Consider the following 27,172-nt stretch of genomic DNA (forward strand, 5'->3'; position numbering starts at 1 on the left):
CTTCTGAAGTGTGTTCCAAGTGACCAATTTATGATGAACTTTTATAACACGGCTCATTTATAAATGGGGAATATGTAGTTTTGTCTGTGTTCTCACTCCAGATACAGTATACAGTAATGAGAGATTGAAGATGATATGCAGGAAAAACGCAGTTGTAACTTGTCAAACGCACATTATAGATGAAGTTGTGTATCTCCTTTTTGCATTGGTTTTTGTCTTTTGTTGTTTTCAAAATACCACTTCATTTATGTTTGGCGTCAATGATTATTGCGGTTTTGTATCTTTTCATTAAGAAGGAGCAATAAACTAGTAAATATTAGTATAAAAGCTCATATTGAGTATTAGTTATTTAGTTTTATAAAACCTATCTGATAACATGGGTGAGGTAAGCAAAAGTCTTTTTTTAATATTTGAAGAGATTTATTCTGAGTCAAATATGAGTGATCATGGCCCATGACACAGCCCTCAGGAGGTCCTAAGAAAAATGTGCCCAAGGTGGTCGGGATGCACCTTGGTTTTATATACTTTAGGGAGACGTGAGACTTCAATCAAATACATTTAAGAAATACATTGGTTTGGTCAAGGCGGGACAACTTGAAGCGGGGCTTCTAGCTTACAGGTAGATTTTAAAAGATTTTCTGGTGCCAAAATCTGAGTCCCAATAAAATGGTTCTGAATCTCAGAATCTTAGGCGAAGATGACATTGGACAGTTCCCGTTTATGAAAATTATTGCAGATCTTGTAAAGAATCTTGCCTGTGAGTCAGAAAGAAAATGGCCCTGGTTTGGACTCTTCCTCTAATTAGCTCTGTGACTTGGGAAAATCACTTCACCTCTCTTGGTTTATAGACTCATCTGTCGAATCTAGAAGGATGGATTAGATGGCCTTCCAGAACTGTGCCAGCTATAATGTAGTGTCAGATTTTTTAAAAAATGTTTGTAAACTATGAAATTAAAATTATTTTTTTGAGTTGTAAATCTCTTACAGAGTACTGAGACCTAAAGGAAGAAGATAGGCTAGAAGAGGAATAAAGTATAAATTTCATTCAAAGATGACTGAAAATAAACTGATCTATTAAATCAAGCTGTGTGTTAAATAAAGAGGAAAGAAGTACCCATTCTGTGCTAAAAATTACTAGCCATATACTATAAGAAGTGATTGTTATGGGTAACCAGATTTGCTCTCAACAGCTCTGCAGGATGAGTATTTAAAAGTTAAAAAGCACAGATTGTGACTCTGACAATACTGGAACTGAAAACCAAACTATCAGTATCTTTTTTTTTTTTTTTTTTTTTTTTTTTTTTTTGAGACGGAGTCTCGCTCTGTCGCCCAGGCCGGAGTGCCGTGGCACTGTCTGGGCTCACTGCAAGCTTCGCCTCCCGGGTTCACGCCATTCTCCTGCCTCAGTCTCCCGAGTAGCTGGGACTACAGGCGCCCGCCACCGCGCCCGGCTAATTTTTTGTATTTTTAGTAGAGACGAGGTTTCACCTTGTTAGCCAGGATGGTCTTGATCTCCAGACCTCGTGATCCGCCCGCCTCGGCCTCCCAAAGTGCTGGGATTACAGGCGTGAGCCACCGCGCCCGGCCGTCAGTATCTTTTTTACTTTTTTTTAGCTTCTACTTTATATAGACAGATTAAAGACATCAAGTTATGAGTTACGTGAAAGAAATCTCATGGTTGGTCATCTCTATAAAACCATTTACTTGGATCTGGTTAGTTCAGTTCGTGAATTCTTTAAACACAATAGATAGAAATAGATTTTCAAATAGCATTGTCGTTTTTATTATGTAAATCCAGCTCATTCTCTCAGCAAATACAGTGTCCTATCTCTGTGTATTTTATTAATAAAATACAGATTTTTAGATGTTCTCCAGCCAATTCTGCAGCCAAATATGGAGAAAAGTAGTATTCCATTCTAATTCCTGAAATAATTACTTCATCTCCTACAGTACCAAATATATTTTCATAGTTTTCAGTTAATATGCAGAGTTTCAAATGTTGTCATTTGTCTTAAAATAGCTACTTTTCACATTTAGCTATAATACTTGAAAATCATTCAGAACACTGACCAGAATAATAATAAATAACTTCTTTCCTGAATACTTTTATGATTTTCTTACTTTTAATTGCTTTGCTAAATTACAGATATAATATCTGATACTTCTAACCATTTTGAGATTGATTGTTAATGAAAGGGATATAGGGAAAGGAAAACTCATCTGGAAGTTGATCTCTAAAAGGCAGTTATTTAATTATACCAGATATATTGTCAGATTTCTGCATTCTCTTCTTTCAGTGATGATAGGCCCCTCAGGATGATCATTAATTTTTGGCTATTGGCTTCTTTCTTTTACATGCAGACTGAAACTTAAAGATTTAAACAGCAGTGTTAGAATGCAAAACCGAAAGATACTACTGTCTTAGAAGTATTAGGGCAAAGTCACAAAGCTTTCCCAAGCTTCAGTATTCTTTATATAAAGTGGAAATAATAGTTCTTTTTTTTTTTTTAAGACTACTTTGCAGGATGTCTAAAATGAGAATTATGTTCATGCCAAATTTAAAAATCATTGCTAAATAATAGGATTTGACCAAATTATCTTACCATCTTTGTTTCCATTAGGTAAAATTGCAGTAATTGGATCTATAAAGATTTAAAGAATAGAACTCAGTCTTCTTATTTACTTTTCTATGTTATTAATAAGGTCAAAGGAAAGCAATATTTTGAGAAAGAAGATTCAAAGATAAAGTAAGGAAGAGAAAAAATAGGATTAATTTCCAAAGTAATGCAAATTATTGTGCTCTGATAATTCAGTTGGAATTTAAACTCCCTACTTAGTGAAATAGATGCTTTCTTTTTCATAAGCAAAACTGAGAGCTAATTTTTTCTCTCTCTAATAGGGCACATACTTCATAGCTGTGTTAATTCAAAAACATTTAAATAACAGGGTGGCAGTACTCAGTAAGAAACCAGTGTGGCTTTGGCTGTATTTTGTTGCTTCTAAGTCCTTTTCAAATATTATCATTAACTATACTCTTTATGCTATTTAATCTGCTTATCCTAATTTCCCTATGCTACTCCTTGAACTGGTAGATATACCCACTCAGTAAGAAAGCAAATAAAAATAAAATAGTTTGAGTCTTACTCTGGTGATCTCTCTATCTTGCATGAAGCTTTCTTTATATGTAAATTGTATTCCTCCCCTATTCCAAACCATTATTTTTTTCTGTCTCTAGATGTAAGGTTCTTAACAGTGCTGGAGATTTCATCAGATGGGGACAGACAGCTGATGAACATTCTTTGGCTCTTCAACCCCTTTTCTTTATTCTACCAAAACACTTTTCCATGATAAATACCTAGAAACATTTAGAAGCCCAAATATTCAAGAAAATTGTCATTATAATGCTTGCTTTTCTGTATGTTTTTACCACATTGTGTCAAGCCATTTGATGAGATGATCTTGCTATTATTTGGAAATAGTTTCCTTTTCTAGAATAAAATTCAATTCTAATCTTACCACTATAAATGATGTTTTTCTATTACCAAGGATCAAAAGAGTTTTAACAGTATCCCTGCCTTTTTCTTTTCTTTTCTTTTCTTTTCCCTTCCCCTTGCCTCCCTCTGTTGTAAAAGTTGACATGTGTGAATTCCAGGGCAGCTTAAGAGAGATATTATTAAAATAGGGACCATACAATTTTTTTTACTTAAGAAACTTGGAGCCATTTTGAACATGTAAAATCACTACTCTTTGCAAATAGGAGGAAGAAGGCACCTACGATCAAACTCTGGAGTTCCGTAGGGGAGGTGATGGCCAGCCAAGACGATCCACTCGGCCAACCCAACAGTTTTACCAACCACCCCGGGCTCGGAACTAATAGGAAAAGGTAAACTTAACATTGTGAAGTGGTTTTCATATAAAGAAAGATGAAATTCATGTTAAGCATATAAGTCCAATTAGTGATTTTTTTTTCTCTGAGACGAAGTTTCACTCTTGTTGCCCAGGCTGGAGTGCAGTGGCGTGATCTCGGCTCACTGTAACTTCTGCCTCCCAGGTTCAAGCGATTCTCCTGCCTCAGCTTCCCGAGTAGCTGGGATTACAGGCATCCACCACCATGCCCAGCTGATTTTTTTTTTTTTTTTTTGTATTTTTAGTAGCAATGGGGTTTCACCATGTTGGCCAGGCTGGTCTTGAACTCCTGAGCTCAGGTAATCCACCTGCCTTGGCCTCCCAAAGTGCTGGGATTACAGGAGTGAGCCACCATGCCTTTTAATGTGGCTACTAGAAAATTTAAAATTACATATGTCTTGTGATATTTCTGCTGGGCAGCACTGTCCTAGAATGTGATATGTCTTTATCTTCCCCAGAGTTCCTTCCCTGGTTAAAAATTAGTTCTGCCATCCTAAGTGAAGAAATTTTTTTCATCTGTTCTAACCCTCAGCTTCTCATGTAGTAGTAGTCTGCCTAGAGTGGAAGTCTAATGCTAATTGACTTCTGAATTACTGTAGCCAGCCAATGTAGCACCTTTTTCCTTTTATCACTGGCTTGTTTTGTGTCCCTAATGCAAGGTCATCAAGTAAACAGTCCTGACCTACTGTCCATAGTGTCACAGAAGAGCTACTTCTTGACTCTAGGTATTTTTCTTACGGCATGGAATAACTGGTTTGTCATTTAGTGCCCATGTCTGCTTTTAAGCAGAATCAAAAGAATATGTAAGGACTTTGGCAACTTTGTGTTGTATAAGACAGAACTTAACACTTATAAAATAAGCTCAGTGTGCTTATAATTAAAGCAATTTTAAAGGTGAATGAAAACTGAGAATTCTCTCTTAGCTTTGCCATATATGACAAACCCACAGCTAGACTCATACTGAACAGGGGAAAAACTGCAAGCCTTTCCTCTATGATCTGGAACAAGACAAAGATGTCCATTTTTACCACTTGTATTCAACATAGTTGAATAAAATAGAAGTACTAGCTAGAGCAATTAAACAAGAGAAAGAAATAAAGAACATCCAAATTGGAAAGGAAGAGTCAAATTATTCTTGTTTGCAGAGGATATGATCTTATATTTAGAAAAACCTAGAGTCTACCAAAAAAACTATTAAAACTGACAAACAAATTCAGTAAAGTTGCAGGATACAAAATCAACATACAAAAATGCTACTATTTCTATATGTCAACCGCAATTGTTTTTTTTCCCCCCTTTTCTTCTTCTTTTTTGAGACAGAGTCTGGCTCTGTCACTCAGGCTGGAGTGCAGTGGCACCATCTCAGCTCACTCCAGCCTCTGCCTTCTGGGCTCAAGACGTCCTGCCATCTCAGCCTCCCTAGTAGCTGGGACCACAGGTGCACACCACCATGCCTAGCTGATTTTTGTATTTTTTGTGGAGATGGGGTTTTGCCATGTTGCCCAGGTTGGTCTCAAACTCCTGAGCTCAAGCAATCTGCCTGCCTCAGCCTCCCAAAGTGCTGGGATTAAAGGCATGAGAGCCACTGCACCCAGCCTCAACAGCAAACAATCTGAAAAGGAAACCAAGAAAGTAATCCCAATTAAAATAGCTACAAATACAATAAAACACCTAGGAATAAATTTAACCAAAGAAGTGAAAGATCTCTACAATGAAAACTGTAAAACATTGATAAAAGAAATTGAAGAGGACACACCAAAACACTGAAAAGATACTCCATGTTCATGGATTAGAAGAATCGATAGTGTTAAAATGACAGTACTACCCAAAGCAATCTACAGATTTAATGAAATCTCTATTAAAATACTAAGGACATCCTTCATATAAATAGAAAAAATAATTCTAAAATTTATATGGAACCACAAAAGTCCCAGAAAAGCCAAAGTTATCCTGAGCATAAAGAAGAAAGCTGGAGGCATCAGACTACCTAATTTCAGATTATACTACAAAGCCGTAGTAAACAAAATAGCATAGTACTGACATAAAAACAAACAGACCAATGGAACAGAATGGAGAACCCAGAAATAAAGCTCTATATTTACAGCCAACTCATTCTTGACATAGGTGCCAAGAACATACATTGGAGTGATGATAGTCTCTCCAATAAATGATCCTGGGAAAACTGGATATCCGTATATGGATGAATGAAACTAGATTCCTACTCTCATCATAAGCAAAAATCAAAATGGATTAAATACTTAAGTCTAAGACTTGAAACTATGACACTCGTAGATGACAACACTGGAGAAACAGTCTAGGACATTGGTCTGGGCAAAAACTTTTTGAGTAAGACCTCAAAAGCACAGGCAACCAAAGCAAAAATGAACAAATGGAATAACATCAGTTAAAAAGATCCTACATAGCAAAGGAAACAGTCAACAAAGTTAAGAGACCACCCACAGAATGGGAGAAGATATTTTCAAACTATCCATCTGACAAGCGCTTAATAACCAGAATATATAAGCTCAAACAACTCAAGAAAAAAAATAATAATCTGATTTTTTAAATGGGCAAAAGACTTGAATAGGCATTTCTCAATAGAAGACATACAGATGCCCAACAGGTATATGAAAAAATACTCAACATCATTAATCATCAGAGAAATGCAAATCAAATACAATGAGATATCACCTTACCTCAGTTAAAATGACTTTTATCCAAAAGAAAGGCAGTAATGAATGCTAGCAAGGATGTGGAGAAAGGAGAACCCTTTTACATTGTTGGTGGAGATGTAAATTAGCACAGCTACTATGGAGAACAGTAAGTTGGTTCCTAAAAAAACTGAAAATAGAACCACCATATGATCCAGCAATTCCACTACTGTGTATTTATCCAAAGGAAAGGAAATCAGGGTATTTTATTTCTTTTTAATTGCTTCAAACAAAGTTTTAAATTGTGGCCAAAGATTGTCAATGCCCTCATTGCTGGAAGGCAGCCATTGTTTAATAGTGGACTCAATTTCTTCAGGGCTGTTGAAGGCAGGTAGGATCTAGCAGAGCTAGAAGTAGAGAGGAGGCAGTGAACATGAATGAGGGTGCAGCCAGATGAGGGGAACTCTTAGTCCCCTTGACCCCTTCTTTAGTTTCTTTCATATATTTTATATACTAGGGTTCCATGGGAAATTTCCTTTGAAAAATAATATATTGCTTAAAAGTAAATTGTAAACCATTACCATATGGTAACTGTAGCTTATCCATATCAAATAACAACGCACACAGTTCCTAATCAACTTAAACATCACAATTTTGGTGGTTTTCTATGTTCCCTGAGTTAAAACTTCCATCGACAAAATGCTTGCTTTGGATTGTACTGTTAACAGGAAATATATGATGCAGATATTTTGGATTCCTGACATCAATAAAAAAAAATTGGTGGGGGACAGTGCCATGAGGTATCATTTTAAAACTCTCACTACAAAATTCACCCTAAAAAATAAGACATGTAATCTTGTTTGAAGAAAATTTTACTTAGTTTTGCATTGTAATTCAAGCATATGTTATGAAAGACTATGAAGTAGAATGAAATATCTCTTTGACATACTATCTTTGAATGGGAGGTTCAAAAATAATAGTGTTCTGCTCTTGTTACATAACGGAATATATTCTTGAGATAAAAGATATTTGTTTCCTCATTCCTGGTTTGTATTAACTTAAACATCTAAAAAAAGATAAACATTGTAGCCAGCCATTTGACTTCCAGCAAATATAAGCATGAATTCTAATATATGCTGAAATTTTCTAAGGTTTTGTTATCTGAAATTATCAAGGTAGTGAAAAACACTTAAGGTGCTTTCTATTATCACTTTTAAAAAACATAATTTCACAGTCATAGGTTTTCTTTTTATGTTTTGAGTACTTCACTAGGTGATGAATGACACATGGTAGCTGTTCAGTAAGTGTTTATTAAATCAGTATGTTTTGATAAAGTTTTATATTGTAATTTGCACATTCTTTGATTATCCTAAAACTTTTTTTCAAGGCCCCCACAGATCCCCTTCCCCCAACCCTCCACACACATATACTTCCTCATTGTGGTGAGAGAACTGGATTCCACTTGAGCCAAATACTAAGGACAGCTTCAGTGACAGAGCAGGAGATACCTAGGAATCAGGGCTAGGTGAGAGAAGGTCTTGGGGAGCATGTGGAAAAATAGGCCCAAGTCTGAGAAAAAGTGGTGACAAGTCAGATATGAGACTTTAGGGGAGATAGAGCCCAAAACTCCAAACTTCTAGTTCCTGGACACTGTCATAACTGTTAAGACAGCTTGGAAATATGAGCAGATATAAAATAGAGAAATTATACACAGTTCTTTAGTCCAACCAAAACTTTGTGCGTTTGGAGAGGTTTCTGACATGAGTGGAGTCCTAGGAACTAGATACTAATTAGTAGGAGCAGCCCTTAGACATGAAGTTTAAGCTTCACATTCCTGGTGGGGTGGAGTCCTCTGAAGACACTGTATAGGCAGAGGAAAGTTTAAACGAGGGAAGCAGAGTCCACAGCAAGTGGCTCTCAGTGGCTACAATAGAGAATATGAACCAAAACAATGGGTGTTAGAAATATTTTTCGGTGATGAAAACAGCATGGCTTCAAATACATAAGAGTTTGAATTTGTTGTGTTTGATGCTGTCATGAACTTTTGATTAAGAGAGTGATATGATCAAAATTAAGCTTAGGAAATATTGCAGCTGGATGTAGGATGGATTATAGCACCAGGAGGGAAAGAATCTAAGAAGCTATTGCACTGGTCCATTCAAACATTGGTTAGAGTTGCATGTCCTGCTGTGAAAAGAGAGATGGCAGAGACCTGTGCAGGAAGCCTTTGTAAGACAGATCAGCAGGAAGCTCCTGCTGCCATGGAGGTCAAGGCTCAATGTGTAAAGCAGTTAAATAAACGCTGACTCACTTGGAACTTCCAGTTTCTTCTTTGTTTGATGAAAGAATGGTATTCCCAGTTTCACGTGTTAGTCAGAAACCTTAAAACCAATAGCTAAGCATAGACTACTACATAGGTACTGTAAACTTATTTTCAAAGTCCTGGTTTTTAACACCATTTTTAACTACTAAAAGATGTATTTTTAAATGTTGAAATTTTTTTTGACAATCTGGTCCAGCATCAATGTCAGGAAAATGATCACTGTAAAGATAACTGTTACAGAACTCCATGATGCCAGCAGAACAGGCAGCAGGTGAGGATTATAGTACCCGACGCTCTGTATTTTCTAAGCAGGAGACTGTTTACTTCCCAAGACTTACGAGCTGTTTGTATGCAGCCGCAGGAACTCCACTAGTCCCTGCCTAAGCACGCTGTCATGCATGAGGCTAAAATAGGCCTGGAGCATACAAGTCTTCTCTCGCCATTTATCTCAGCTCTTTCTCTTGTCACCACCCAAAGTGGTTTTAACTAGAGTGGTGCCTAATAAATGTGGGGAGCAGGCAGGGGGAGGTGACAGACCAAAATAAATCACCTGTGTGGAGCAACTCAATTCAGAGGCGTTCACAGAAGAACTGGAGGCGGTTAGGATAGGGAAAGACGTGGTTCATTGGCAGACTGCATCTGTTTTCGGTAATCCTCCGTTACAAACAGTTCGGTTAATCCAAATTCCTGAAATCAACATGCCAGCAATAAATGGTATAACAGTGGCAGAGATGTACTTTAACAAAGTCTAAAAAAAAAATTTATTTTCAAAAAAATTTTGCTTTTTTCTTTCATATTGCTTTATAAAGATTGTTTACAAATTAGCAGTATCCAAAATTCTAGTTAAGATCTATTTATACAAACACTTCACATTTACAGATAAGTTTCAGCAGAAATGTATCTTGACAAAGTATGGAAAAGTTAATTTGAGGCTTCAATTTCATTTTCTTCATTTCTTTTTAAAGTAGACTCTTTGTGAAGAAACGAGCCAGTGACTGAAACACCCTGGTGGAAACCTGTTGACAGACCTTCCACTTTCTCTTCAGAATAAGTAGCTGTGGTGGATATTATTATTTGAAGAAAGAAAAAACAGATTTTAGGGTGGAAAAAACAGTCAACTCACACAAAGAATGGAAAAAAATACTGAGTTAAATTAAGCAAATACCTTTTACAAGTGAAAGGAAGAATTTTTCTTCTGCCGTCAATAAAACCATTGTGCTATTATTGTTTTACTGTGTGTTTTATTTGCCTGATGTTATCTTTCTTGTTCATCTGGTATTAACCCCATACTAATTGCCTTTCTATAGAATAGCAATTTCAGCATACTGAAGCCTCCCCCTACAATTACAGAATAAACTGACACAGCTTGCCGCATTTCTTAAAAAAACAGCCTGAAGCCAAATAGCAGTTCTTAGTATGGTAATACCTGCTAAATATGATGGCAAAAAGTATTTAAAACTTGAATATGTTGTTTATAACACTCAGGTAGCTTTTCCAAATGTAATTCAATTTTAAAAAACAGGTATTCCCTTCCTCATAAAAGGTGCAGTGGATCTTTAAGGATGCATCTGGTTGCAAGTACCAGAAAACCCATCTCAAACCAGCTTAAACATTAAAGGGAATTTATTGGCTCACTTCACTGCCAGAAGCATAGTAGGTTTCAGGATTGGTCTAATTCAGTGACTCGGGGATGTCATGAAAGACTGATTCTTTTTTTTTTTTTTTTTTTTTTGAGACGGAGTCTCGCTCTGTCGCCTAGGCTGGAGTGCAGTGGCGCGATCTCGGCTCACTACAAGCTCCGCCTCCCGGGTTCACGCCATTCTCCTGCCTCAGCCTCCCCAGTAGCTGGGATTACAAGCGCCCGCCACCACGCCCGGCTAATTTTTTTTGTATTTTTAGTAGAGACGGGGTTTCACCGTGTTAGCCAGGATGGTCTCGATCTCCTGACCTTGTGATCCTCCCGCCTTGGCCTCCCAAAGTGCTGCCACAGGCGTGAGCCACCGCGCCCGGCCGAAAGACTGATTCTTTTTATCTCTCATTTCTGCTTTCTCTGGAACCAGCTTCATTCTACAGCAGGCTACCTACCCCATGCGGCCACAAGATGGCTTCCAGCAACTCCCAGAGCCTAGGGGTGGGGTTGGGGCTGCTTCCAGAAATGCACTCAGAAGAGAACAACTTTTCTCGTTAGACCGCATTTAGCTCTTTTGGGCTACTTTTCTATCTGTGAACCATTAACTCCAGCAAGGCCTAGAGATTACCTCAGGCCTGATCTATGTGCCCCACGCTTGGCAATGGGACTGGATTGGAGGCAGAGGATATGCATCTGAAAGTCAAGATACTTGCCAAGAGGAGAGGGAGAGGTGTTGGTGATGCAACCAGAATATCCATTACAGTAAACCAATTGTCAGAGCTACAAACTCTTCGTTTAATAGTCTTCCTATAGTCTCAGTCTTGTGGAGCCAGAAGTGAACAAATAAATAGAAGAAAGAAGGGAGGCAGAGGAGGAAGGAAGAAGAGAAAGAGAAGCCAGAGTGAACAATTAAAAACAGAAGAAGGAAGGAGGAGGAAGGGAGGGAGGAAGAAGAGAGAGGGAACACTGGGCAAAATAATTGATAAAATGTGCTTTGAAGGAGAGGTCCTCAGGCATTCCCTCAGGGCCTATTATGTACATTTTCATTATTAGCCCACAGATGTTAATAGTTGGGTCTAGCAGTGGTGTTTTGGTTTTTGTTTTTGTCAGGCCTCCCATGCTGTGCATCATAATTAACTAGAAGTGGGTGAGTCTGGGCAGTGCTATTTTTTTAAAGATCTCCAAATGATTCTAATGTGTGTCTTAGGTTGAGAAACAGAGGAAGCCCATGGCAGTTTTGATGCGTTTGACAGCTGATAATAAGGGAAGAGGCAGCAGAACTGAAACGGAGTCCTGAGGGTAGTTTAAAATGTGGGCTGTTGGCACTTATTTGTTAGATGGGGACAATAATACCTAATACAGCATTAAGCCTAAAATGGACACTCAATAAATACTAGTGTTGGTTAGGAGTTATTACTCAACCGTCCTTAAGAACAGTTCCATATGGTAATGTGTTTATACAAAATGATAGATATCTAGATCATATATATTAAAATGACATATGGATCATATATATTATCTAGATAGCTATAGATTTATAAATCTATAAATTTGACCTGAAGACTCAAGAAAAGTTTAAATTGGACAGTAGTGAAGTGGACAGTAAGTGAAGCCAACCCATCTGTTCTGATTGCTGGTGGCAACTGGGCACTAAAGGGTGAGGAGTTCATTTCTGCCAGAGCAAGATATAGTTGGCTAAATATATCAAAAACTAAGTTTCACTGTGGCTTTCTATTATTAAGGGCAGCTGCAGGCCTAGATGCGGATGGGGTATGTAATAATAAAATAATTGTTAGTATTTGCCAAGGTTTTCCTATGTGCCCAGCACTGTACTAAAACATTTACCAGTCATTATTTCTTAAAATCTTCACACAGCTCTGTAAGGTAGGCGTCACTATCTCCATTCTACAACCAAAGTAGCTGATATCCTTCAGAAAGGTTGGTCACTTTGCTCACAAAGCAGAAGTGTCCTGTTCACTGAAGAGTATGTAGTTTACTTGACCCTTCAGGCTTAGGCCATAAAGACAACACTCCAGCCTCATGTGATTCTCTATTTCTATGTAGTTACGTCTCTCTCTCATGCACCTTTCTTTGTAGCTCATAGCTAACATCATGGCTAAGCCCATGCCTAGTTCAGCTGACCGCAAGGAATAAGCATGGGAATAAAGAAAACATGACCGGCAGTGTCAGAGTTACGCTCCCACGGTGACTGGGCCACAGTGGCCATCAGTCTTGCCAACACAGACCCTTTGACTAGCTTAGCACACACAGGAAAACAAAATCTAGTTCTGTGTGTGAGTGACTTAGAATGTCAGTGCGTGGCCTAGAGAACCTTTACTAGGCCCTGTCTGTTGTCCCCTTCTGGGATGGATAGATATATTTTATGCCATTTTTCAAAAGTAAAAAGTGCTAGGATGTCTATCGTTCTTCCCTGTCTCCCATTCCAGTAACACTTCTAGAGGTAAAATACTGAAGATAAGAATATTCATGAAGACAATAAGTTTACATAAAAAGACAAGGCCACAGATTTAAAAAAAAATGGTTTTATATAAATAGGAAAGAGAACAGGACTAGCTCAATTTCTTTGTTAATTACAAAAGGGAAACCTTGAGTTTTGTGTCCTAGAGCTTACATATGATGGGAGAGATAAAGTTCTATTAAGAGAGATAGGTGGGTCTTCTCCTCAGCCACAGGAATAGATTCCTCATATGCAGGACAGGTTTTCCTCCTGGGATAGAGGTGGACTTGGGAGCCTCTGCTGCTCATTGCCTGATTGATAGCAGTGGGTAGCAGTGCAGCACTGGGAAAAAGGCAGGCTTGTCTGGAACTAAGGCAGTTGCACCTCAAGGTGGGCATGGTTTCAGGGTGCAGACTTGGTGGGGTCACCCACAAGAGCTCAATCCTCTAGGCTTCCTTTCTATTGCCACACTGGTTTGTCAGCCAGTGTGGAAGGAGGGCCTGGTATGTGACTTAAATAGGGTCACAATCCACTGCTTTGGTCAAAGAGGCTGGTGAAAGGGGTATTTGGGCCCCCATTCTAGAAGCAAAGCTGACTAATGCTTAAGCATTTCAAAATCTGAGAAATGACAGGCTTGATAAAGAGAAGCATTTGTCAGATATCTGTTTTCCTCTCAGCCTTTGAGAACACAGGTATGAAACACACTAGTAGTACAGTGCCTACTACGAAAAACATGGGATCTTCCTGGGCTAGAGAAACACGAAGAAAAGCTATGGTTGTTACTTGGAGAACAGGGCCTTAGAGAGATGCTCATTATAAATATCAGATTCTGCTCACAAGAGGATGGAACTGTTTCTCTTGACTGGACCCAGTGGTGCCAGGAACCACTAACAGTAATTAAGAAATACCAAAGAAAAGAAGGGCTTTTCGGGAAATACCTGAAAACCGAGAGGAGTCTTTTACATCTCACTCTCCAAGAGAGGACTCCCACTCCTACTCAGGATGTGGAAATCTTAATGGTAGAACCTGTTAAGCGATCTCTCCTGAGTTTTAATTCACTGGAGATGGTCTCTGGACAGTAGTGTGGATTTTGCTGGCATCCTGTGACTCTTTTCTCTATTTCTTGCTAATTTTCCCATCTGCCTTCTTTCTAAGTAACACAGAGTAAACAGAGTCTTTTATGACCATGGGTAGATCAACAATGTAGGTCAAAAATCTCAAAACACTGCCTGCTGAATTGTCAGGTGCACATTATATAATCCAAGGTAGTGAACATTATGACTTGAGAAAATCATGATGACCTGATATTTAGTTTCACATTGGGATAGCCTTACTTGAAGTAATATACTAATTCAATTCAGGGCCCGCTGAGGCTAACCTCGAGAGACAGTTATAAAAGGCTGTGAGAGGCTAGCTGCCCATTTCGTAAGGCTAGTTCTTTAAAAAATAATAAATTATAGAAGAGCTGTAGTAAGGAAAAATGCCCCCGTGAAAGGGCAGGCAGAACTTTTAAAAAAACCTGTTTTTATGTCAGCGAGTTTAACAGTGTACAGAAATATTCATAATTATCACAGGCTGTTAAATGCTTTGAGGTTTATAGGAAAAGAACAAAATTTAGAGGAATGTGGTGACATTCCAGCTTCAGGTAGCAAGGTCTCACTCTTTCACCACTGAAGAAAGGCAATTTTGTTCAAGTTCAGGAATTCACAGGACTTCTGCTTATGGTTAGGATAGAGCATCAGGGGATGGATTTACCTTCTTGCCTGAAACAATTGAACGACTAGACAAAATATACAAGATGTTGGCACTCCAGACATTGGACACCAGGCCAGAAAGTGCAGTGACCCTGGAGAGCTGGGAAGCAGGCTAGATGAGCTCTACAGTTTGTCCAGGTTACTGCTTGGCAAAATTTTCAAGGCCATGGTATAGGGGAACCCAGGCAGTGCCTGTCAGTCTCTGAGTAGGAGATGGAGGAGTTTAGGAAAGGCTAGGTAAGTAGACGTTGCAAGGCAGAATACCAGAGAAATGGTTCATAGACCTAATGTAATACCAAAAACTATAAATCATCTGAGAGAAACAAATTCTTTGTTACCCTGTGTTAGACAAGAGTTCTTAGATCTAACACCAGTATAATTTAGATGAAGTGCAATTTATAAATTTGTTATTCATAAAAACAAATTTATAAATTGCACTTAATCAAAATTAAGAACTTATGCTCCTTGAAGACACTGTTAGGGAAATAAAAAGACAAGCTACAGACATGGAAAAAATATTTGCAAATATTTCCAGATCTGATGGAGGACTTACAGAATATTTAAAGAATTATTCAAAACTCCATAGGAAAGCATCCTAATTTTTAAAAAATGGGCAAAAGATTCAAATAGTTGGCCAAAGAAGATACAAAGAAGGCAAATGAGTACATGAAAATGACATTCAACATCATTATACATTTTAAAAAAGTGTAAATTAAAACCATAATGAATTAACCACTACACACCTATTGTCAAGACCACAATTTAAAGGAGCCATTATACCAAGGGTTGGAGAGAATGTAGGGGAACTTGAAGTCTCATACACTGTTGGTGGGAATGTAACGTGGTACAAACTGCTTGGAAAATAGTTTGGCAGTTTCTTAAAGAAACATACGCCTAGTATATTACTCAGTCATTCCACTCCTAGTTCTTTACCCATGATAAATGAAAGGATATGTTCATACTTAGAATTGTCCACGAGTGTTTATTTGTAATAGCCCCAAACTGGAAACAACCCAACTGTCCATCTTCATGTGAATGGGGGCCAGGTGTGGTATAATCCCGGTGCTTTGGAGGCCGAGGTGGGAGGATTTTTGAGGCTAGGAGTTTGAGACCAGCCTGGGAAACATAGGGAGACCTCATCTCTACAAAAATTACATTTAAAAAAAATTAGACTGGGCCGGGCGCTGTGGCTCACGCCTGTAATCCCTGCACTTTGGGAGGCTGAGGTGGGCAGATCACGAGGTCAGGAGATCGAGACCATCCTGGCTAACACGGCGAAACCCCGTCTCTACTAAAAATACAAAAAAAATAGCCGAGCGTGGTGGCGGGTGCCTATAGTCCCAGCTACTTGGGAGGCTGAGGCAGGAGAATGGCATGAACCCGGGAGGCGGAGCTTGCAGTGAGCCAAGATCGCGCCACTGCACTCCAGCCTGGGCGACAGAGTGAGACTCCATCTCAAAAAAAAAAAAAAAAAAAAAAATTAGACTGGAGTGGTGGCATGGGCCTGTAGTCCTAGCTACTTGGGAGGTTCAAGAGGAGGATCCCTTGAGTCCAGGAATTTGAAACTGGGCAACAGAGTAAGACCGTGTCTCCAAAAACAAAACAAAATAAATAAGCATGTGAATGCGTAAACATAATGTGGCATATTCATAAATGAAATACTAGTCGGCAGTAAAAAGGAATGAACTATTGATACATGCAACACAGGGATGACTCTCAAAATAATTATGCTGAGTAAAAGAAGGCAGAAACTTCAGGAGGGAGGACATACTGTGTGATTTCATTTATAGAAAACCATAGAAAATGCAGTGTAACCTATAGTGACAGAAACCAGATCAATCAGTGGTTGTCTAAAGATGGGGAGGTAGGGAGGGATAGGAGAGAGGAATTACCTAGCGGTGTGAAAAGACTTTCTGGGGCATGATACGTTCTTGTCTGGATTGTGGTGATGGTTTCCCGATTATACCTATGCCAATATTTATCAAGTTGTTCCATCTCTATGTGCACTTTTCTGTATGCTAATTATACCTCAATAAAGCTGCTTTTTCTTGCTCTTTACTTAACCCATTGAAATAATGTCAAACATGGCTGGGCATGGTGGTTTATGCCTGTAATCCCAGCACTTTGGGAGGTTGAAGCAGGTGGATCGTTTTAGCCCAGGAGTTTGAGACCAGCCCAACCAACATGGTGAAACCCCATCTGCACAAAAAGTACGAAAAATTAGCTGGGCATTGTGGCACACACCTATGGTCCCAGCTACTTGGGAGGCTGAGGTGAGAGGATGGCTTGAACCCAGGAGGTCTAGGCTGCAATGAGCCAAGATCGCACCACTCTAGTCCAGTCTGGGCAACAGAGTGAGAACTTGTCTCAAAAAACAAACAAAAAACAAAACAGAAAGAAAGAATGTCAGACATAACTGCTGCATTCAATGAAAAAGTCACATTATAGCTATCCTCTCTTCACTAGGTTGTGGTAGAAATATATTGACAGTTATAACTGCCTTTGTTAGGGAATATTTAACATCAAAAATATTACTAGCTTTGTAATCATTTTAGAGATCAGGAGTCTTTAAATTCTTACTATTATTTGTAAAGCTCTTAATTCTTAGAGGGCACATAAGTTGTTATAAATATTATATTGTTATGTGTCCGTACGTGTGTGTGCCTAGCTTTGCTATTGTTAAACTTTCATATATCTGAAGTCCCAGTCGTTTATTTAACAGGACTAGGGTTTTCAATAGGAAACATTTGGCCACGTGTGCCCTTTCTATCTGCTTCTTTATGTTTAATGTGCAATTTTCGAGTATTGACAGTAATAACTCTACTACCTAATTTGCCACTTTAAAAGTACTTGTTTTAACTTCATACATACTTTCAATCTCTTGGGAAATTATGGCTCATAGATTATTAGCTTTGGTATTTTTACCATACTCTGAATTCTTCTAAACTTTACACGTCATTTTTGAAACATAAAATAATTTTCCCCCACCTATTTTGGAATAGATCTATGTGACATAAACATGCTAAAGTAAATACACTTATATGGAAGTATTTTGATATGATTATAACCCTTCTGTTCTGCCGGGCGCAGTGGCTCACACCTGTAATCCCAGCACTTTGGGAGGCCGAAGTGGGTGGATCACAAGGTCAAGAGATCGAGACCATCCTGGCCAACATGCTGAAACCCTGTCTCTACTAAAAATACAAAAATTAGCTAGGCATGGTGGCACGTGCCTGTAGTCCCAGCTACTTGGGAGACTGAGGCAGGAGAACTGCTTGAACCCGGGAGGCAGAGGTTGCAGCGAGCCAAGATCGTGCCACTGTGCTCCAACCTGGCGACAGAGTGAGACTCCATCTCAAAAACAACAACAACAACGAATAACTCTAATGTTCTGTGGACTCAGGTTTATGTGTATGAATAAGTGTCCATTTTGTCCTAACCTGTGGCACTGAGTTTCTAACATGCTGAAACTCATACATTCAATAGAGACATCTAGACACGTGTGATTATCATAAAGTTGAAGATTTTCATAACCATTTTATATGAAACACTCCATTCTGACATGGACCATAGTAGTTTTTTGTTGTTTGTTCATTTGTTTGTTTGTTTTTCTCGAGATGGAGTCTTGCTCTGTCACCCAGGCTGGAGTCCAGTGGCACGATCTCGGCTCATAGCAACCTCCACCTCCTGAGTTCAAGCAATTCTCCTGCCTCAGCCTCCCGAATAGCTGGGATTACAGGCTCACGCTACCACGCCTGGCGAATTTTTGTATTTTTAGTAGAGACAGGGTTCCACCATGTTGGCCAGGCTGGTCTCGAACTCTTGACCTCGTGATCTGCCTGCCTCGGCCTCTCAACGTGCTGGGATTAGAGGTGTAAACCGCTGTGCCTGGCCCAATCATAGTAATTTTTTCATGTCTTCATGTTATTAGCAAAACAATACCCTTTTTATACAACTGTCTCCATCTAAGCTTTTTGTATCCCTTTAAAAAGTTTTAGGAAGTCATTTGAGTAACAAGGCCCAGGAACTCAGGTAATTTACCATTTGCTTGTTCAAGAACGACCTGAGAAGAAACAGATCTTGGGCTGGCTAGATTATAGTTTAGTTATTTCCTAAAATAATTTTTTCCATGAATGAACTTGAGTGATTTAGTACAAGAAAATTGTGCCATATGTTGCAAATAAGCTGCTTATATGAAACCAGCTTATCCCAACAGGAATTGCTCTTTTGAAGTGCCATTTATACCGCTTCTTGGAACCTAATTCTTGGAGTCTTCATGGCAAATAGTTCCTACTTAGGTATCAAGGTCATGTCCAGTAGCTCAGTCGGGCTTTCCTGTGCTGAAGTGTTTCTACAACCTTTGAATCCATTATTTACTTAGATTTTTAGACATCAATAAAAGGAAGTTATTTATATTATCAATGTCACACTACAAACAAGGCACCAGTGGAATTACTTATTAAATTACTTAAACACACTTGTACTATGGTGGACATCTGAATCGTTTATTCATCCCCCTTTTGCTCAGTGTAGCTTTTCCTCCTATCTTCAGCCATAGTTTCAGAAGGAACCTTTATAGCAGAGAGGAAGTAGAATCATGAAGTAGCTGGGAACAAAGCATCTACTTGTGGCTTTGTGACCTTAGTCAAGGAGCTTAATTTTTCTGAGCCTCGGTTTCCCCATTTGGGAAACAGGAACAATAGTATTACTTACGCTGTAGGACTATTAAGTGACAAAGAAGCAGCCCTGACATCTAGAAGCTGGCCTGGAACTCAACCCAACTCTCTTGTGGCCCATAAACAATTTCACAGAACACAAGATCAGACAGGGCCACGTGACCATGATGAAGCAAAAAAAGGAAAAATGCCAAAACCAAAATAAGAATATTGTCCAAACCACAAAAATGATGAAACCCCTCCCTTTTCCGGCTAATTTGAATGGCTGCTGCTTCTTTACCTCTTACGGCTTTCACTCTGCTTTGTTCATCCCACCATCCAGATAGACATTATCAAGATACCTACTCAGAGAATCATCTTGTGTCTTGACAACATTCAATGCTCAGCACCCACTTTTCTTGAGCCATCCCGAATTCCTCCAACACGAGATCAAATCCTATTGTATTAACCACATTTTCTAGTTTCTCTATCTGATGTTTTGACATCTGGGGCCTTGCTGTCTAGGGAGAGACTGCTCCTCCTAGAGACTGAAAGGGAATGACTGCCTTTCATATGCAAACAAACCAATCCCGAGCCCGCTTATGCTTCTGAGACATTAACCCCCTGTCGTAATTGCCCTGAGCCAGGCTTCAGAAAACTAGGGACATCCTCTGCACCCCAGAGCCACTGAAATGATTCAAACTTGCTGGGCTTAAACCTGGTCAACCCACTCACCCTGCCTCACCCATTCCTGGAAAATAAAATAATAAAAATTTTTATTCCCCTGATTTCCTGTTCCCTCTCTGCCTGTGACCAACCTGATTCAGTAATCTCTACTATGGCCTTACATGGCAGGGTATCCGCCCCTCCTCTTGAAAATTATGAGTAATAAACTATACCTCTCCTCGCCTCCCCTCCCCTCCACTGACCAAGACAGTGAAAGAGATCTAACCTCACTGACTCCATCTTGCTTCTAACCTTTAAGCTGTCTTTTTTCCTTCCTGGGCGTAGGCTGAACTAACTTTGAGAGGAACTTAGTTTATATAGTTAAAACAAAGACGATAACAGCTCTTTGCCAAAAGAAACCTCCTTCTTGCCTGGGGACTAGACTGCCTTTGTAGGACTAACAAATTAGCCACAAGATTAGAAATTATGGTTTAGGAGTCACGCAGCTGAGGATACAAGATTCTGACCCTCCCTAAACTGCTCCTAAGATCAGTACTTGAGATATTTTGCAGACCCTGCACTTGATGGATCAGCTGGCACCGCCCAGATGGATAAACTGTCTCATCTGATCTTGTGGCTCCCACTCAAGAACTGACTCAGCACAAGAGGACGGCTTCAGCTTCCCATGATTCATCTCTGACCCAACCAATCAGCACTCTCGACTCACTGGCCTTCCCCCACCCACCAAATTATCATTAGAAACTCTCCTTCCCAAATGCTCAGGGAGACTGATTTGAGTAATAATAAAACTCTGGTCTCCCCGCACACCGGGCTCTGCGTGAATGACTTCCTGTTTCTCTGTTGCAATTCCCCTGTCGTGATAAATCGGCTCTGCCTAGGCAGCGCCCTGCTGGGCGGTTACACTAAGTTGTATCTGCTTGCCTATTTATAAAAGGGTGAAATTTCTTCCTTTCACTGCGATCTCTTTGCAGATTGCCTGTGATGTGCCTCACATTCTGGTTTAATGTTTATTACATAATAAAACTGTTTTCTGTCTCTATTACCTTTGAGGAGAGGTTTTCTGGATTGACAGAAGATTTTAATGCTATTCCCCCAACAGGTGCAAATATTTATCATAGGTTCCCCAGGAGAAGTAGTGAGCCTACCCACTCTGCAGAAACCACAGATTTAGGGGAGCTTATTCCCTTGTCTCCAGGGCCATGTGATCAGCCTGTGAGGGTCCCTTAGGACCACAGGGCTCATTGTCCCGCCCATGCCCCGTGCTAACCTTGGCTGCCCTGTCCAGGCACCAGGCCATGAGTTAGCAAAGCGCAAAGCCGGCACTGGGCTTGCACAGGTCACTTGCGCTTACAGCCTGCCTGCCAAGCTCTACTTTGAGCGGCGCTTTCTTCAGCCTCTGGCTGAGCCCTGTATTTCCAAGAGGCTGCATCCTGGTTGCCTCGGGCGCTGCTTTGCGCAGGCTCAGCGATGAGGAATGCTTCTCAGAATGCTGAGAAAACAAGCACCAGGACAACTCTTTTCTCTGTGATATTTCTCTCTATCTTTCTTCCTCTTTAGACTTTGCCTTTTACAGCTGATGGGGTTTGAAATTTTATCTCAGTGGGCTTTAAAATCTAGAACAATCCTCCCCATGTTTTAAACTTCCTTTGCTCACTCATGTCCCCCTCCCTGCCTGGCTCCTCACGTCTCCACTTCCTTCCCGGGCTCTGTGTGTCCCTGGTAAGTAGGATGGAGCCTGGGTGTTGACAAGCGGCACCGATGCACTGAGATTTGAGGAGGGTGGAAATATCCCCTCCCCAACACCAAAACCCTAAATTCAGTGGGACTGATTAAGCCATTTGCCTTTTAGCACAGAGAGGACATAGGATGAATGAGCAGATCCGAGACTGTGGGGAGAAGCAGGTTCTGCTGTAGGCCATGTTATTTGCCCGTTGTGGCACATTTTCTTTTCTTCTTTTTTTTATTTTTTATTTTTTTATTTAAAAAAAAAAACCTCTATTTTCTTCATTTCTAAAACGGGCAGGAGTTACCCATCTTACTTGTTGTAAGCCCCTAATTGGTGCTTTTAGAATAACTAGAATATTATGAAGGCTCAAACTATACTGCATGAATTTGCTTCTCCTTAGGCAAGTAGCAGGACCTTGAGGGTACCCACAAAATATGTACAACTATTATGTTTCAAGGCTCATAATTCTTCTACCATAATTGGTATACTCAAGTAGTACAGGAACAGCACAAAAGAAGGTAGAACAAATATGCAGTGTGTATTCTAACATAGGTCTTCATTACAGGATTTTTTGCCTTATCTCCATTCCTATTCCACTAAACTATCTAGACAACCTAGAAGAAACCCAGTGTACTTGTAAGTCTTAATAGTAGGGTGGATCTTTGTAGAAGATACTTCATGGTATGGCAGAACTGGGTGTAGTGGAATTTTTAACGTAAACCTCAGTGATGTGATGAAACTTGGTAGACTACACCATACAGGTGGAATGCAACTTTGGAGCTAGCAGTTGGAGGTTTGAATCTCAAGTCTGCCACTCCTGGTGAGACCTGGGTCATTTCACTTCACCTCTGTGAGCCTCAGTTCACAGAGCACAAAATGAACATACACACCTGAGAGAGCAGGTGTGAGGTTTAAATGAGATAATGTGAGCACAGCATCCAGTCTGGGCTGCACTTATATGGATCCACGTCAGATAGAGGCTCCTCTTGCAAGAAATGAGGCTAGTTATCTAGGGCCTGGCATTCTGGATACTGAAATGGGCATTCTCACCTGTGTATTACCAATGGGGCTCCATAGGTGACAACTATCCCATATGCAAGGACCACAAATTTCGCTATCTACAGCATCTAGTCTGGCCCAGCATGGTGGCTCATGCCTGTAATCCTAGCACTTTGGGAGGCCAAGATAGGTGGATTGCTTGAGGTCAGGATTTCAAGGCCAGCCTGGCCAACATGGTGAAACCCTGTCTCTACTAAAAATACAAAAATTAGCCAGAAATCACTTGAACCTAGGGGTGGAAGTTGCAGTGAGCCGAGATCACCACACTACACTCCAGCATGGGCAACAGAGCAAGACTCTGTCTCACATAAATCAACAAATAAAGATTCTAGTCTGGGACCTACTCATATGGATCCACTTCAGATAGTGGCTGCTCTTGCAAGAACCGAAGCTAGTGATACAGACAAGAGACAGGGAAATACTGGGTAGGAGAGGGCAGTTTACCAGCAAAGGCCCCACCTTCAAGCCTGGAAACCACGGCCATAAATGGGAACAGGCATTCCTGTTTTTGCACCCAAATGTTGCTTTCTGGCCCGCCATGCCCCCCTATCCTGTACCCATATAAACCCCAAGCCCCAGGCTCCAAGAGCAGACAAGCAGACAAATGGAAGAGTGATGCAGCAGAGAAGGAAAGAAGAGAAGGAGTGTCTGAATGTCAAGAGGAGTTTGGCTGGGGATGGTTGGAGAGGTGATCAGTTGCAGAACAGCTGAACTCCAGGGGAAGATCACCTTCCCACTCCATCCCCTTTCCAGCTTCCCATCCATCCCTCTGAGAGCCACCTCTATCACCCATAAAAATCCCTGCATTCACCATCCTTCAAGTCTGTGTGTGACCTGATTCTTCCTGGATGTTGGACAAGAACTTAGGTGCCAAGACGGCACTGAGCTGGTTAACACTTAAGCCATCTGCAGATTGCAGAGCTAAAAGAGTATGCAGCATACCCGCTGGGGCTTCGGGAGCTGCAGGCACCCACCCCTAGATGCTACCCTGGGGCCAGAGTCCAAAAGCCCTCATCCCGGTTCCTGCCCCTGACTGTCTGCATGCTCCCCTTCCCATAAGGGGTTTGAGCAACAGCAGTGGCCAGAGAAGCCACACCCCTGTCACACGTCTTGCAAGGGGGATCAGGGAACCCTCTCGTTTGACTAGTTACACAGGACTTGGCATTCTGGACTTTAAAATGGGCACTCTCACCTAATACCAATGGTGCTCCATAGGTGGCAACTATCTATCCCATGTGCAAGAACCATAAATTTCACTATCTCCCTTAAAATATACTGTCTGTCATGCTTTAGGCTCCATGAATCACATTTTACCCATGCTCCCAGTCCTTTGCTATCTGAATGATCAACTTGTCTTCTATTGTCAATGACACCTTCCCTGCTCTGTATCTTTACTCACTGAGTGTTCTTCATCTTCTCCCTAGTGAGGGTCGGAGGAAGACCTAATAAAATTTACTGAACAAATTACAGGAGAAAAATCTTAATGCTGCTTTACAAGGCAAAATTGAAAGTCTCAAAAGTGTATTGTGTATTCTAAAGTACAGTTTAATGAATAGCAGGGTAGAAGTTGTCAGTTTTTTTTAAAGTGCTAAATAGCAACCTACTTCTTCTGAGAATTCATTTAACATAGCATTTTCAAACAATGCATGAAAATTTTGGTTTTTATTATTAAACTCAGTCACAATTTCATTTAAAATCATGACATTTTAAATGAACTGTTTTAAAGTGGCCAAATGTGCAATTTAAATTTCTTATAAACTCTCTCTAATTACATTTTAAGGTGTATAGGGACAAAAATAGATTTTACTTCCATGCATACTATAAAGTCAATTAAAGAAATTCAAAAATTCTAATAAAAATTTTACAGATATTATGCTTGGACAAATATAGACTCAAATCCATGCTATATGGCTAAAAGTTTAATCCCTAGTTTTTGCATTAACATTGTTATATTAATAAGGATAAGAGAGGTGTTAATTCATCCATCCATTAATTCATCCATCCATTTATCCATCCTTTTATTCATTCAATCTGCCACTAATTTGAAGTTTATACCAGCTACTTTTAAGGCTTTGTTAGATTCTAAAAGGATTAACATTATGAGACTATCCTTACAATGCTTAAGAGAAGATAAGATGTGATGCAACCAATAAGGAAGACATTTCTTTGAACTTGAAACCACCTTTGCAAAATTATAACTAAGGAAATTATGACAGTGAAAGATATCAGACCTACTCAACTCCATCTTGCTTCTAACCTCTAAACTGTCATTGTCCATTCCTGGGTGTAGGCCGAACTAGCCTTGGGAAGCAATTTAGTTTATAGTTTAAATACAATAATAGCCCTTCCCAAAAGCTAAACTGTTCTTGTAAAATGAATGAAAGGCTACCAGCCACCAAGTTAGAATGAGAAGGGCTGGAATTCAAAATATTACCAGCCATTATTCTGGAAGTCATAAGATTTGCAACTTCCTCAATTACTCTTAAAGGTAATATCACTATTTTGAGTCTTTTGAGATGTCTTTTCAGGTTTTTGCATTTCTAAAAACCATACAGCCCCACCTGGACCTGCCAACCAGGAACTGACTCAGCGTAAGACGACAGCTTTGACTCCCTATGATCTCATCCCTGAGCCAACCAATCAGCACTCCGGATTCACTGGCCCCTTACCCACCAAATTATCCTTAAAAACTCTGATACCTGAGTTTTTAGGGAGACTGATTTGAGTAATAATAAAATTCTGGTCTCCCACACAGTCAGCTCTGCATGAATTACTCTTTCTCTATAGTAATTCCCCTATCTTGATAAATTCGGCTCTGTCTAGGCAGTTGTTGAGGTGAACTCATTGGGCAGTTACAAATTTGGAGGTAGCATTTTACTTTAAAGGAAATAGAAAGACAGAGAGAAAAAAGCTTGAGCTCTGAACGCAGAATACCTGGGTTCAAATAGTAGTGCCTGGTGTTACTCTGTACTATCTTTGAGTCCCAGGGCAACCTACTTAAACCTCCCATGCATTAATGTCCATATGGAACATATTATATTACTTGTATGTTATATTGCTGTGGAACATGTTGTATTACTTCACAAGTTTGTTCTGAGAATTCATCAAGTTAAAATAAGCAAATCACAGTACTTTGCACATGGTAGGTAGTCCAAAAATTTCAATTCTACTCCATTCATCTGATTTATTTTAGTTCTGATCTAATTTTTTAATATCTGTAAAAGGAAAATAAATCTTGGGGCCCCCAAATCACATAGCTATAGGGAAAAGTCAAGTCGGGAACTGCTTAGGGTAAACCTGCCTCCCATTTGATTCAAAGTCACCCCTCTGCTCACTGAGACAAATGCATATCTGATTGCCTCCTTTGGAGAGGCTAATCAGAAACTAAAAAGAAGGCAACCATTTGTCTTATCTACCTATGCCCTGGAAGCCTCCTCCCCATTCAAGTTGTTCCCCCTTTGCTTCCAGTTGTCCTGCCTTTCCAGACCAAAACAGTGCTCATCTTACACATGCTGATTGATGTCTCATGTCTCTCTAAAATGTATAAAACCAAACTCTGCCCTGACCACCTTGGGCACATGTTGCCAGGACCTCCTGAGGCTGTGTCGCGGCCATGCATCCTCAACCTTGGCAAAATAAACTTTCTAGAATAACTGAGACCTGTCTCAGATATTCAGGGTTCACGTATTCAAGTCTCTGGTTTATTCACGTAATTTCAAGTAAAATCACATATATCAAATGCAACCTGCACTGAAGCCACATTTGTAAACAATTTGCTGTTTTTTAAAAAAAAATTAAATTGGCCAGGCTCAGTGGCTCACGCCTATAATCCTATAACTGCTGAGGCAGGCAGATCACCTGAGGTCAGGAGTTCAAGACCAGCCCGTCCAACATGGTGAAACCCTGTGTCTACTAAAAATACAAAAAAATTAGCCAGGCATGATGGCAGTTGTCTGTAATCTCAGCTACTTGGGAGGCCGAGGCAAGAGAATCACTTGAACCCGGGAGTTGGAGGTTGCAGTGAGCCGAGATCGTGCCATTGTACTCCAGCGTGGGTGACAGAGCAGGACTGTCTCAAAAAAAAAAAAAAAATTAAATCACTTTTTAAGTTGAAAGTGTTTATGTGCAAACAGTTCAGTCTCTGGTCACTACTGGATATTTGGTTACCTGGCTTTGTTTTTGCATTCCCTGTAACCCAGACCCAGACCCAGACCCAGACACAGACACACAGCTACTTGTTTTCTGTTATTCTACTAGCACCTAGTGCTTGAGGTTGAGGTTTGGCTTTCTATGTCACAAAGTCCTCTTCAAGGTTGTGGTATG

At 40.0% G+C, this 27,172-nt stretch overlaps 1 protein-coding gene across 12 annotated transcripts in view, besides 2 other annotated features; it reads left to right on the forward strand.

The window, feature by feature from the left end:
• TDRD3 (tudor domain containing 3) overlaps positions 1 to 10,112 on the forward strand; it is a 178,347-nt gene extending 168,235 nt beyond the window's left edge. For 6 of the 12 annotated variants that reach the window (XM_024449417.2, XM_005266560.3, NM_001146071.1 and 3 more), the window contains 2 exons: positions 3,758 to 3,883; positions 9,846 to 10,112. In XM_024449417.2, the coding sequence (XP_024305185.1) occupies positions 3,758 to 3,883; positions 9,846 to 9,879 (160 nt within the window). In that variant the 3' untranslated portion in view covers positions 9,880 to 10,112. Of the gene's footprint in view, positions 1 to 3,757; positions 3,884 to 9,845 lie in introns of those variants that run through there. The other 6 variants (NM_030794.2, XM_047430682.1, XM_024449416.2 and 3 more) reach the window with 3 other exon arrangements.
• Positions 20,568 to 20,862: an enhancer, noted in NCBI's record as "tiled region #4317; HepG2 Activating non-DNase unmatched - State 3:PromF, and K562 Activating DNase matched - State 5:Enh". NCBI's record gives its function as "activates a minimal TATA promoter and a strong SV40 promoter by Sharpr-MPRA in HepG2 and K562 cells {active_cell/tissue: HepG2 | K562}" and the evidence as "EXISTENCE:reporter gene assay evidence [ECO:0000049][PMID:27701403]".
• Positions 21,384 to 21,958: an enhancer, noted in NCBI's record as "NANOG-H3K27ac-H3K4me1 hESC enhancer chr13:61159285-61159859 (GRCh37/hg19 assembly coordinates)". NCBI's record gives its function as "activates a minimal SCP1, AML or CMV promoter by ChIP-STARR-seq in naive H9 embryonic stem cells {active_cell/tissue: H9 hESC(naive)}" and the evidence as "EXISTENCE:reporter gene assay evidence [ECO:0000049][PMID:30033119]".

This window comes from Homo sapiens, chromosome 13 (assembly GCF_000001405.40).
Source record: "Homo sapiens chromosome 13, GRCh38.p14 Primary Assembly".
Taxonomy (NCBI): domain Eukaryota; kingdom Metazoa; phylum Chordata; class Mammalia; order Primates; family Hominidae; genus Homo; species Homo sapiens.